General features: G+C 38.9%; 1 protein-coding gene across 10 annotated transcripts in view; it reads right to left on the bottom strand.

Annotated features, from left to right (window-relative positions):
• Positions 1–13773, bottom strand: part of MTDH (metadherin) — an 86077-nt gene that overhangs the window by 27829 nt on the left and 44475 nt on the right. For 2 of the 10 annotated variants that reach the window (NM_001363137.1, XM_011517369.4), the window contains exons 5-8: positions 13329–13394; positions 11244–11480; positions 6139–6228; positions 2580–2678 (exon numbers count right to left, since the gene is read on the bottom strand). In NM_001363137.1, coding sequence (NP_001350066.1) covers positions 2580–2678; positions 6139–6228; positions 11244–11480; positions 13329–13394 — 492 coding nt within the window. The remainder of the gene's footprint in view (positions 1–2579; positions 2679–6138; positions 6229–11243; positions 11481–13328; positions 13395–13773) is intronic. The other 8 variants (NM_178812.4, XM_011517370.4, NM_001363138.1 and 5 more) reach the window with 5 other exon arrangements.

Genomic DNA, 13773 nt, shown 5'->3' with positions numbered 1-13773 from the left:
TGGGAGGAATTGTTATTTTTACAGAGAAGGAAATTGAGGCATAGAATAATCATGTAACCTGCATATGGGCAAAGGCAGGGAAGTTAAGATTGAAACCCAGGTAGTCTGTCCTGAAAGCTCATGCTCTCAACCACTCCATTATGCTGAAGCGAATTCATTCACCCCTGTGTGCCAAGAAAAAGTTCTATTCAACATCTGACTTTTTACATGGGTTACAATAATGCTGTTCCTTTATGGTCAAGATAGTAATAGATTAATGTATGTCTTCAAACTGGAGGGCCAATATGTTAATTATATCATACTGTAAATGTAAATCTAATGTAATATACTTTGTGGATTTGTAATCTAAAATACTAAATCATTCATTTTAGAAATTCAGAAGTAATAACTAAATTCACTGAGCACCAAAAATAGAGCTGCATTAAAGATGGTGACACAGAAAATAAAGTTTACAGAGAAAATGTTAAAGAGAAACTCTGGACTTAAAAAGACTGCCAATACAGCATAACAAACTTGAGGAAGATGGTGTTTCTGATACATATTACTTTGATTAAGTATAGAATCCTGTGGATACATGTTTTAAAAATCTTTTATTTTAGCAGCTAATCATGTTTTTCATATTCAAAGTATCTTAATATGGATAAAATAAAAAGTGCATCTACTCTGTCCAAGCAGGAAAGCCTGGAGACCTGTCCACTCAATTTTCCTCTGCCTCAACCCACAGCAGCCCAAGATACCTTACTGCTATTTTCCTATAGTCACTCCTATCATTGTTATAATCATCCTCAATTCTATTCTGCATATAGCTGATAATTCTTCCTAAAGCACAAATATACTGTTTATTTTTTTCCCCAAAAATAGTGCTTTCACATCCTTGTAAAACCTTGGATTTAAATACTTCATACACAGTCAGCCCTGCGTATCCATGGGTTTTCCATTTGTGGGTTCAAAAATATTCAGGAAAAAAAATGAATGAACTGTGTCTGTACTGAATATGTACACACTTTTTTTTCTTGTCATTATTCCCTAAACAATACAGTATAACAACTATTTACACTGTATTAGTTACTACAAGTAATCAAGAGATAATTTAAAATATATGGGAAGACATATGTAGGTTATATGCAAATACTATGCCATTTTATCACAGGAGACTTCAGCACCTGGGGATTTTGGTACCTGAGGGGGGTCCTGGAATCAACCCCCCATGGATACTGAGAGATGACTGTAATTTACAGAGCTTTCATGTTCACCCATTATCTCATTAAAGCCTCACAACAACCTATGAAAACAGATATGACACATTATTTGCTCGATTTTACAGCTCCCAGACAAGTGACAAAGCCCTAACCATATGAGGTACTACTACATTTTAGAGTCGGGACTAAAATTCGTATCTACTGTCTAAGCTAGTACTGAAAACCCCCAGCCCCCTAACCTTTAGCCAGCAATTCAAGGCATGCATTTCACAATATGGTCCTCCCTGATCTTTCTCTCCTCATCTCCCTTAATCTGTAAGAACTGTGCTTTAACCACTGTGTCGCCAGCTTACCTTGATGATTACTATCATCACCAAGGCTGTACCAGATAGTGGTTAAGAGCATGAACTCTAGAGCCAGACTAGCAAGGTATGAATACCACCCTCCTCCATTTAACTAACTGTGTGGCCTGGGAAAAGCTAGATAACTTTCCCTTGTCACAACTTTTTCATCTGGAAAGTGTGGAAACAAATAAAACCTACCACATAGAAATGTTTTAAGCATTAAATGAGATAATAAAATCCAAAAGACTAAGACCAGTGCCTGGCACATAGTCCAGTGTTTTTATTGTCATTATTATTACCACCGAACACCTATGTATAAAGGCTTGCACTAGGTCCTGAGTGTATGAAAGAGTGCTAGTCCCCATTTTCAGAGAGTTCTTAACTCTACTTGGAGAAGGAAAACATATGCTTAAAAATGGTGGAAAACCCCACAGGGAACATATAAGTGCTAACAGTAGAAAACAGTAAATAGTAAAAAAGGATGTGAAATAAAAATTCAGACAAAGTACATTTTGAGATTTAGGTTTGTGAGGAAAAAAAACTCATAATTTTTTTTTTTTAAATGAAGACGGCATGAGCTTTCCGAACATACAAACCATATTCTTCCCTTCTAAAATGTCTTCCTTTAACTAAACTTCTACTGGCAACTGGGTTAAGAAAGTAGTTTTCTACCGGCACAAAAATGTGTGTATACTTCACAAATACAAAGCCATTTCTGTATATTTAATTCAGTCTATTATACTACCTAGGAGGAGAAACAGACATTCATTTAAAACAAAAAATTTAAAAACTAGAAATACTACAGAGCAACTAGAAGAAAACTTTGTTTAAATATTGCCTCAATTACGAAAATTCAGTTTTAATTCTACAGGTATTCAATAATCAGGTTTCAAGTAGTACATTTGGTATTAAATTATATTCTTATGACCTTTAAAGGTGAGAAATTAGAATTAAAATTAAAACATAAAGCATGAATTCAGGGTGCTAGAAAGAAAACTCTGAAAAAAAATAACTGATAATTTTTAAAAGGACATACTTAACCCAGACCATTCATCATCGATATAGGGTTGATTACGGCTAACATCCCACTGATAATCAGAAGTGGTAGACTGAGAAACTGGCTCAGCAGTAGACCCTTAAATGAAAAACGAATGCAATAAAATTAAAAATGGAATTTCCTAATGATGTTTCATAACAATAGTTCTATACTTTGACACGGAGACTTTATTTTTAAAATTTCTCCTAAAAGGAAAAATTCAGACATTAGAAAAAGAATTAAGTTAAAAGGAAAAGTAGAATTGAGGGTAATTTTAGATTAACTATGATAATCACTTGATCTAATTCAATGATCAGAAATCTATGTTTTCCCTAGCACCAATCCATTAGATTTTGTGTTTTGTATTATACACCAACTGGTAAGTTACCTATAAATTTCTCTCTTTTTTTTTTTTTGAGACAGGATCTCACTCTGTCACCCAGGCTGAAGTGCAGTGGCATGATCGTGGCTCACTGCAGCCTCAACCTCGCAGGCTCAAGAGATCCTCCTACCTCAGCTGGAACCACAGGCTTGTACCACCATGCTGGGCTTTTTTTCTTTTTTCGAGACAGAGTCTCACTTTGTTGCCCAGGCCGGAGTGTAGTGGCACAGTCTCGGCTCACTGCAATTTCTGCCTCCTCAGCTCAAGCAATTCACCTACCTCAGCCTCCCAAGTAGCTGGGACTACAGGCACACATTACCATACCCAGCTAATTTTTGTATTTTTTGTAGAGATGGGGTTTTACACCATGTTGCCCAGGCTGGTCTTGAACTCCTAGGCTTAAGTGATCCTCCTGCCTCAGCCTCCCAAAGTGCTGGGATTACAGGCATAAGCCACCTTGCCTGGTCTCCTGGCTTATTTTTAAAAAATTTTTCGTAGAGATAGGGTCTTCCCTGTGTTGCCCAGGCTGGTCCTGAACTCCTGGTCTACAGGGATCCTCCTCTGCCTCCCAAAGTGCTGGGATTACAGGCATAAACCACTGTGCCCTGCCTACAAATTTCAAGAAGTCAAAAAAAGTTGTTTTTTCCTTCTTCTTAATGGAAAATAAAACACAATAGAAATCTCTGCCATTGATCATTTTAGTCCTGGATGTTTCAGGGCTATGTATCCTCAGAACCTTGAAAGAGGGAACTAGAAAATGTCTGAGTTAGCTAGCATCTTTTGGCTAAGAAACATTAGAGAAATAGGTGGTTATCTAGAGAGGTGAGGCAGAGAGAAGCCAAAGAGACAAGAAGAGTTGCAGGAGGTCTAGAGACTAAGTTCAAGTGCATTTAAAGAAAACAAAATATTATCTCATAAGTTTTGTCTGTTTTTGTTTTTTCTCAGGTGAGGGTAGTAGGTCGGGTGAGAGTGGGTTCACATAGTCTTTTAGGAACCTGATGAAAGCTGTGGCAGTCTACTATCCAGAGCTTAACACAAAATTCTGCATATAGTTTTGGGGGCATATGAGTTCACTGATGCCAGGTCAAACCCCTTGCTTTATAGATATAAATTCACTTTAGGATGCAAATGTAAAGCAGTGGTTTTCCATCAGGCGTGCGCACACACACATACACCCCTTCTGAATTGGAATTTACATGTGTACTGGAGTCCTTAGATGACTCTGATATGTATTTTGGATTCAGAGCCACTGTATAAAGAAATGGTTAGGAAGAAAAGATACTTGGTTAGTATAAAAGTGTTACATACAATCACGTCCTCCCACGTGAGTCCTTACTACTAATTTATAAATTTCTTCTTGGTTACAGATGATCTTACCAGCAGCATTCCACTAATATATTATCTGCTTGATATACTCTCTCTATATGTATGTTTAATATGTATATTTTAATGTAAACTTTAACAGAGTAACCCTATAAACAGAGTAACCCTATAAAATTCACATGTATTAATATATTAGCTGCTTAGAAGCAGTACTGTAACACTGGTGCTATTCCTTTGGCAGCCCACACGGCTTTCTCTGCATATATGAAGGGAATAGCATGTGTGTTGTACAGAGTCACCAAATGAGGAAGCAATAAACTTGTACCTCTGGAAATGAAATGTAGTCTATGAGACCAGAGTTTAGCAAACTATGACTCACAGACCAAATCCAACCATCCGGTTTTTATATGGTCCATGAGCCAAGAATAGTTCTTACATTTTTAAATGGTTAAAAAAAAAATCAGGCCAGGTGCGGTGGCTCATGCCTGTAATCCCAGCACTTTGGGAGGCCAAGGCAGGTGGATCACGAGGTAAAGAGATGCAGACCATCCTGGCTAACACGGTAAAACACTGTCTCTACTAAAAATACAAAAAATTAGCCGGGTGTGGTGGCACGTGCCTGCAGTACCAGATACATGGGACGCCGAGGCAGGAGAATCGTTTGAACCAGGGAGGCGGAGGTTGCCGTGAGCCGAGATTGCGCCACTGCACTCCAGCCTGGCAACAAAGCGAGACTCCGTCTCAAAAAAAAAAAAAAAAAAAAAAACCGAAATAATAATATTTTGGAACCAGAAAGTCATTTGCTTACTGTCTCAGGTTGCTTTCCTGTTACAACAGCAGGGTTGAGTAACTGCAATAGAGGCTGCACGGCCCACAATGCCTAAAATGTTTACTATCTGTCCCTTTATACAAAAAGTTTGCTGACCCCCTTTCTAGGTTAGTGATTCCAGACGCTGCGGAACTACAAAATTAGTAAACTGGGTCCACAAAAAAAAAATATATATATATATATATATATTTTTTTTTTTGTGAGACAGAGTCTCACTCTGTCACCCAGTCTGGAGTGCAGTGGAGCAATCATGGCTCATTGCTCATTGTAGCTTCAACCTCCTGGACTAATGCGATCCTCCCACCACAGCCTCCTGAGTAGCTGGGACCACAGGCAAATACCACCATGCCTGGCTAATTTTTCTTTAACTTTATGTGGTGATGTAGTTGCCCAGGCTGGTCTTGAACTCCTAGGCTCAAGTGATCTTCCCACCTCAGCCTCGCTACGTGCTGGGATTAGAGATGTGAGCCACCACACCTGGCCTCCCATATTTATGTAATATTTGTTAAATACATGTAGTTTCTATATGATTAATAAAACATATATCCATTTAAGTAATGCAGAATTAACAGTAGTTTATTAGTAATCATGTATTTTATAAATCTACAGATACTTATAGTTATTATGTGGGAATCCATAACCTGAAAGGGTTAGTTTTAAACTCATGATGAGTAACGGTGAACAGAAGTAAAATGTCAAATTGTAACTAAAAGTATGGCAGGACTACATTAGCAACAGAAGAATATGAACCTGAATGGAAGGCCTTGCATGTGTATTTGTCTGTGTGCCAATACACTGTCAGTGATCTCAAGCTACAGAATCCTTACTCCCCTAGAGAGGGGAATTAAGCCATTTGCACATAAGAATTTAGGTCTTCTCTTCCTGTTGTAAAGGCCTCTGCCACTTTATAATACCTGCTATTTATATTGATAGCAGTACTTGATGTTGATTAGTTTTTCAAATAACAAGCACTAAAATTAAACAAATGTTTTTGTTAGCTGAACAAAAGACTGTTTTTCACATACCAGAAACAGCAGAGTTAAGTGTGAGAGATGCAAAAGAAGCAGAATTCTGTTCAGAGGTATTCATTCCCCTATCCACACTAGACCAAGCAGCTGTTAAAATAAAAAACATCACTTGGAACCTTCAACTTGCATCAGACTTGAAAGATATGTAAAGATTTAAAACTATGAGACTATTTAAAGATAACCTTAGAAATGAGAACCACTTAATATAGTAATAGCTACTATTTACTGAATATTTATTACGTAGCTGGGCCCCTTACACCAACCACTTCTAATCCTTACAGAAACTTTGCTAGGCAGTTTTGGAGCAATTAAGTGACTTGCTGATAGCTAGAAAACAGCTGAGCCACGAATGCAGCTTAAGTCAATTCCCAAAGCCTATGCTCTTTTCCACTATACCAAGCTGCATTATTATTTATCATAATTAAGCAACTACTTTGGGATAGCACTGAACTTGGTACTTGACTTTCATTACAACAAATCCTCACAATTACATAAGTATGAGGTTCATACAGGTTAAATAACTAGCCTGAATGTCCATAAAAGCTATCATGTAGAAGAATAGAGATTCATACCTAATAGATCTGTCTGAACCAGTCCCTGTTCACTCCTCTATACCATGCTACTTTCTCAATATTTTCAAGACATTTCTTATTTTAAAGAACGTAAACCTCCATGAGACGAGTCACATCTGTCTCTTTCCAGTGACCCATTACAAATCTAATTTAATATAGTTCCCTTTCATTTTCCATAAAAGTCCTAGTCTATCTAGGCAGGAACTCTAATTTGCTGTTTAATATTATCTGTAACAACATTAAGCAAATACCATCTAATTTATGTCCTAATTATGAAATGCTATATAACTTTTACAAGTAAATTGTAGGCTGGGCGGAGTGGCTCATGCCTCTAAACCCAGCATTTTGGGGGGCCGAGGCGGGCAGATTATGAGGTCAGGAGTTCAAGACCAGCCTGGCCAACATGGTGAGAGCCTATTTCTACTAAAAATACAAAAATTAGCTGGGCATGGTGACACGTGCCTGTAATCCCAGCTACTCAGGAGGCTGAGGCAGGAGAATTGCTTGAACTGGGACCCGGGAGGTGAGGTTGCAGTGAGCCAAGATTGTGCCACTGCAGTCCAGCCTGGGTGACAGAACAAGCCTCCATCTTAAAGAAAAAAAAAAAAAAAGGCAGCAGCAAATTGCAAATTGTAAATATCCCAAAAGGTCACACGGTTCCTAACATTACTCCATAAAATTCAACCATTTCTTTTACCAAATATGAAAGGATGCTTTATAGCACAGAAATTAATGCTTTCTTCTCTGCTAAAAATGAGAGTGGGAATTTAGGGAAGGTCTTTTTTTTTTTCTTTTTGAGAGGGAGTCTCGCTCTGTTGCCAAGGCTGGAGTGCAGTGGCTCGACCTTGGCTCACTGCAATCTCCGCTTCCCAGGTTTAAGCAATTGTCCCGTCTCGGCCTCCCGAGTAGCTGGGATTACAGGCACGTGCCACCATGCCCAGCGATTTTTTTGTATTTTAGTACAGACAAGGTTTCACCATGTTGCCCAGGCTGGTCTTGGAACTCCTGGGCTCAGGCGATCTGCCAGCCTCAGCCCTGCAAAGTGCCAGGATTACAGACATGAGCCACCATGCCCAGGCAAGGGAATGTCTCTTTCAAACAAGTTTTGATACCGCTACACAATTTTTCAATATAATGGGGAGGAAGGGAGAGCAAGCTTAAAAACAATATAATTAAATGATCTGGTGTTTGATTTTTGAGGGTGTTAGCTTTAAAAGAGAGGGGCCAGTGTTGGTGGCTCACACGTGTAATCCCAGTACTTTGGGAGGCTAAGGCAGGTGGATCACCTGAGACTGGGAGTTCGAGACCAGCCTGACCAACATGGAGAAACCCCATCTCTACTAAAAATACAAAATTAGCCAGGCGTGGTGGCGCACGCCTGTAATCCAGGCTACTCAGGAGGCTGAGGCAGGAGAATTGCTTGAACCCGAGAGGCGGTGGTTGTGGTGAGCCGAGATCGTGCCATTGCACTCCAGCCTAGGCAACAAGGGCAAAACTCCATCTCAAAAAAAAAAAAAAGTTCCAGAAAAAGCCTAACAACAAAGGAAGAAATATTTTTCTACTTACATACTAAAACTAAAAAGTTTCTAGTATCTATTGCTCCCTCAAATTAGAGCAGATAAAAATATCTGCCATAAGCACAAGAGAAAAAATCGTATGTTTAATGCACAAGAAAGTATAACTAGATTTAAAAAATAAAATAGTAGGCAGATGTGGTGGCCCACATCTGTAATCCCAGCACTGTGAGAAGCCGAGGCAGGTGGATCACTTGAGCCCAAGAGTTTGAGACCAGCCAGGGCAACATGGCGAAACTGTCTCTACAAAAAAATACCAAAATTAGCCAGGTGTGGTGGCACATGCCTGTGGTCCCAGCTACTAAGAAGGCTAAGGCAGGAAGATCTTTTGAGCCCTGGAAGTCGAGGCTGCAGTGAGCAATGATCACACCACTGCACTCCAGCCTGGACAACAGAGTACGACCCTGTCTCAAAAAATTAAAAACAAAACAAAACAAAAAAACATGAAGAGCTCATTAGACAAATGGGAAAATAACAAGAACAGACAATTCATAAAAGAAATAGAAATGACCAAGAAACGGCTGGGCATGGTGGCTCACGCCTGTCATCCCAGTACTTTGGGAGGCCAAGGTAGGTGAATCATGAGGTCAGGAGTTTGAGACCAGCCTGGCCAACATGGCCTGTCTCTACTAAAAGTACAAAAATTAGCCGGTTGTGGTGACAGGCCCCTGTAATCCCAGCTACTTAGGAGGCTGAGGCAGGAGAATCACTTGAACCTGAGAGGTGGAGGTTGCAGTGAGCTGAGATTGCACTGCACTCCAGCCTGGGCGACAGAGCGAGACTCCGTCTCAAACAAACAAACAAGCAAACAAAAAAAGAAATGACCAAGAAAGTTGTGGAAAACTTTTCAATCTCATCAGTGATTTCAAAAAGTTAACCAAAATAATTTACGTACTTTTTGCTTATCGAATTAGAAAAGGCGGAAAAAAAAAATCCCCAACCTTGGTAAGCATATGATAAATGGGCACTTATACTGATGCTTTGAGTATAAATTAGAACAACTCTCTTAGAAAATACTTAGGCACTATGTAGTAGAGCATTACAAACATCCATATTCCCTTTAATCCAATATCACTCACAAGACTCTGTCCTTAAGAAATAACCGCAAAACATGGCCAGGTGTGGTGGCTCACACCTGTAATCCCAGCACTTTGGGAGGCTGGGGTAGGAAGACAACTTGAGGTCAAGAGTTCTAGACCAGTGTGGCCAACATGGTGAAACCCCACCTCTACTAAAAAAATACAAAAATTAGCCAAGTGTGGTGGTGTGCGCCTGTAATCCCAACTACTCGGGTGGCTGAGGCATGAGAAATGCTTGAACCCAGGAGGCAGAGGTTGTAGAGAGCTGAAATCATGCCACTGCACTCCAGCCTGGGTAACAGAGAGAGACCCCATCTTAAAAACCACAACAAAAAAATCCCAAACAAATATATTCCGTGAAACATTATCTACAATGGTTAAAAAAAGGAAAATTGGCTGGGCGCCGTGGCCTGTAATCCTAACACTTTAGAAGGCCGAGGTGGGTGGATCACTTGAGGTCAGGAGTTTGAAACCAGCCTGGCCAACATGGTGAAACCCCGTCTCTACTAAAAATACAAAAAAATAATTAGCTGAGTTTGGTGGCGTATGCCTGTAATCCCAGCTACTTGGGAGGCTGAGGCAAGAGAATTGCTTGAACCCAGGAGGCAGAGGGTGTTGTGAGCCGAGATCATGCCATTGCACTCCAGCGTGACAGCGACAGAGTGAGACTCCATCTCAAAAAAAAAAGGAAAATTACTTCTTGAATAATATGGGAATAGTTAAGTAAGTTATGCTATCCTTAAACATTATAGGGCCATTAAATATACTTACAAAAAGTAAGGAAAATGTTTATGTTACAATGTTAAGTGGGGACTAGGGGAGACATAAACATGCATATTCAACTTGAATTACATCAAAAACAAAAACACTAAAGCAAAACTATAGGCCGGGTGCGATGGCGCACGCCTGTAAATCCCAGCACTTTGGGAGGCCGAGGCTGGCAGATCATCTGAGGTCAGGAGTTCACGATCAGCCTCGCCAACATGGCAAAACCCCGTCCCTACTAAAAATAGAAAAATTAGCCAGGTATGGTGATGCCATGTCTATAATCCCAGCTACTCGGGAGGCTGAGGTAGGAGAATCGCTTGAACCCGGGAGGTGGAGGTTGCAGTGAGCTGAGATCGCGCCACTGCACTCCAGCCTGGGAGACAGAGCAAGACTCCATTAAAAAAACAAACAAACAAACAAACAAAAAACAACAAAAAACACTATATACAGTTGCGGGCAGGAGAAAGGGAGGGAGAAGAAATATAAATAACAGCAGTTGTCACTAGGTGGCATTTTGGGATTTTCCTTATCATTTTGCAATTGCCCACATGTAATGTGGATTTCTTTTCTATAATACACACACACACACACACAAACACACACACACACAAATTAAGCTGCTTTTAACTTGATAGCTCTCAACAGAAATAAACTTCTCAACTACTGGTCTTTATATTAAAATCCGGAGGAAAATTTAATTATAAATAGGCACCATGCAGACTGTAAAATATAAGTGGATGTTATCAACTGTACTTCCATTTACTATTTTTATTTAGACTCAACAGAATTGTTGAAATTAATCAAAAAGTCTACCCACACATTACATGTATCACATCACTAAGAATATATAATTACACCAGTTAGCTATGTTGATAATCAAATGTGATAAAGTATGTGAAAGCACTATGTAAAGAGTAAATGATGTTATTTACTTATTTAATTCCCACCTTGCTCTACAAAAAGGATGTGAGATGAGTTAATTATTACTATTATTTCTGCAGAGCAGTACTTATTTTTCTATTCATAGTTTTTTTTTCTATTTCTGAAAAATTAAAAATGTACAAGATTAGTAATTTTAAATAAAGTTAAATTTTTCTAACACTTCTTACCAATGCCAGAAAATATTGAACGGTCACTCCAACTCCTTCCCCAGTCTTTTCCATTTGTATTAGCATCTCCAGTGTCTTGACTCCAGGCAGATGGCTCAGTTTTCCTCTTTCCTGCAGAAGCAGGTGAAACGGAGTTCCACTTCTCCTCACCTGCACTGATCTGTGAGGAGAGTTTTACAGACTTTTCATTCCAGCCTCCTCCATTGACAGTGAGGTTTTCATTCAATCCTGAAGAAACTTAAAGAAAAGAAAATGAATATTAAAAAACAGGTACATGACTTCTTAAAACTGGGATATTTTCACATTTCTATGATTGCTTGACTTATATTTATTACTCACTTCCCCTACTATCCTTTGATCACCAAGGATTGCCTTAATTTAAAAACAGGAGGCTTGAACATAACATATATACTAACAAAGTTGTTCACAGCAGAATAACTTGCTCAAAGAAAGTACAACAGAGCAAAGAGGAAAATGACACATATTCTGAATACTCACCCACTAAGAATATGAAGACATTTCCTTAGTTACATGTTCTTTCCTTATTTATATATATTACATTATGTATCAAGCAATGATTCTAAAACCTGGCTGCACATTAAAATTAACTGAAAAATTTATTAACAATAGACCCTGGAGCCTCAGCCCAGACCAATTAAAATCTGAATCTTTGTGGTGGAGCCCAGGTATCATTATATATGTAGAGTGTATGTATGTACACACACACAAATACACATAGGTGTGTGTATAGATAAGTACCTGTTTCTTTTTACATATATGTGTGTACATGTTGTTTTTTACAGCTTCCTGGATAACTAATGTGTAGCCAGGGTTGAGAATCATGGGCATGAAGGAAGCTGACAGTGCTAAGAACAAGCACTGAAAAGTGTGAAATGAGGCTGGGCGCAGTGGCTCACACTTGTAATCCCAGCACTTTGGGAGGCTGGGGGCAGGCAGATGACCTGAGGTCAAGGGTTCAAGACTAGCCTGGCCAACATGGTGAAACCCTGCCTCTACTAAAAACACAAAATTAGCCAGGCGTAGTTGCAAGTGCCTGTAATCCCAGCTACTCAGGAGGCTGAAGCAGAATTGTTTGAACCCAGGAGGCGGAGGTTGCAGTGAGCCGAGATTGTGCCATTGCACTCCAGCCTGGACAACAAGCAAAACTCTGTCTTTAAAAAAAAAAAAAAAAAGCCTGATGCCTGTAATTCCAGCACTTTGGGAGGCTGCAGTGGGTGGATCACCTGAGGTCAGGAGTTCGAGACCAGCCTGGCCAACAAGGTGAAACCCCATCTCTACTAAAAAATAAAAAAATTAGCCAGGTATGGTGGTGGGCGCCTGTAATCCCTGCTACTCGGGAGGCTGAGGCAGGAGAATTGCTTGCACCCGGGAGGTGGAGGTTGCAGTGAGCCAAAACCATGCCATTACACTCCAGCCTGGGCAACAAGGGTGAAATTCCATTTCCCAAAAAAAAAAAAAAAAAGGCCTGAAAGAAGAAGGTGCTTTTTTCATTTCCAATTTTATTTTACTACAACACTTTTGTTTTCAGGTCAGGCATAACACTCTACTTAATTCAATCTTTATCATAAATGAGTAAATAAAACATATTTTCTATTTATAAAGCAATGAAAAACTTTAGCCTATAATCCATTGTGAAATATTTGATACTTGACTGTCAAGGAAGCAGTTAAAACATTATAGGAACTAAAGCTTTTTTTTTTTTTAACATACAAGCATCAAGTATTTTATCCGATATATGCTATATTAAACCCAAGCCCAACAAAAATCTTTCTTCTCTACTGACTTAAGTGACAAGGTTCAAAGTTGCAATATAAGCGACTACTGAATGTTTTTATATATGGGGGAAAAAGACTAGAACATATCAAAGATCGTTAGAAGTGGGTGTGATTTTTCTTTTTATTTATTTTCCAAAATCTCTGTACTGTGATTATGTTACTTTATTAATTAAAAATCATTTTAAGACTTTTTTCTTTCCTTCTGTGTCATTCATTTGAGGAAAGAGGTATGTATATAAATTTCTATTTTGATGGGCCTTCAATTTAAGTTACATGTAATTTCTCTCACCCTGAAGTGTAGAATCTCCTTTTCCAGATTTAAAGTTGCTAACTTGAACATTTAGATGAGAATCACCTGGTTAAAATAGAAATAAAATTTATTTAATACTAAATAGGGCACTATGCACATTAAATTAGGAGTAACACATAAATTAATTTTTAATTATTATCTATTATAAATTGCTCCTTCAAGTGCTAAATTCTTCCACTGGAAAAAAGTCAATTTTACAACACATTTCACTTGTTGGTAAGGAACTGAGTTTTCTGGTTACCATATTCTTAGTCAACTAAAATGCCAAAAAGAACCTGGAAAACTGCCTATGTACAGACAGAGTTTGCTATTCTACAACAGTTATCAAGATTATTTTAAGTATGAACTGCAGTATTGGGCTCTGTAATTGGATTCAACTTTGCCACCTCTCAACAACACCCGCTGCCTTTTCAACAATCCTGGA

The sequence above is a fragment of the Homo sapiens genome, chromosome 8 (genome assembly GCF_000001405.40).
Source record: "Homo sapiens chromosome 8, GRCh38.p14 Primary Assembly".
In the NCBI taxonomy this organism is placed as follows: domain Eukaryota; kingdom Metazoa; phylum Chordata; class Mammalia; order Primates; family Hominidae; genus Homo; species Homo sapiens.
The sequence above is the reverse complement of the archived record's forward strand: the minus strand, read 5'-3'. Positions and strand labels throughout refer to the sequence as shown.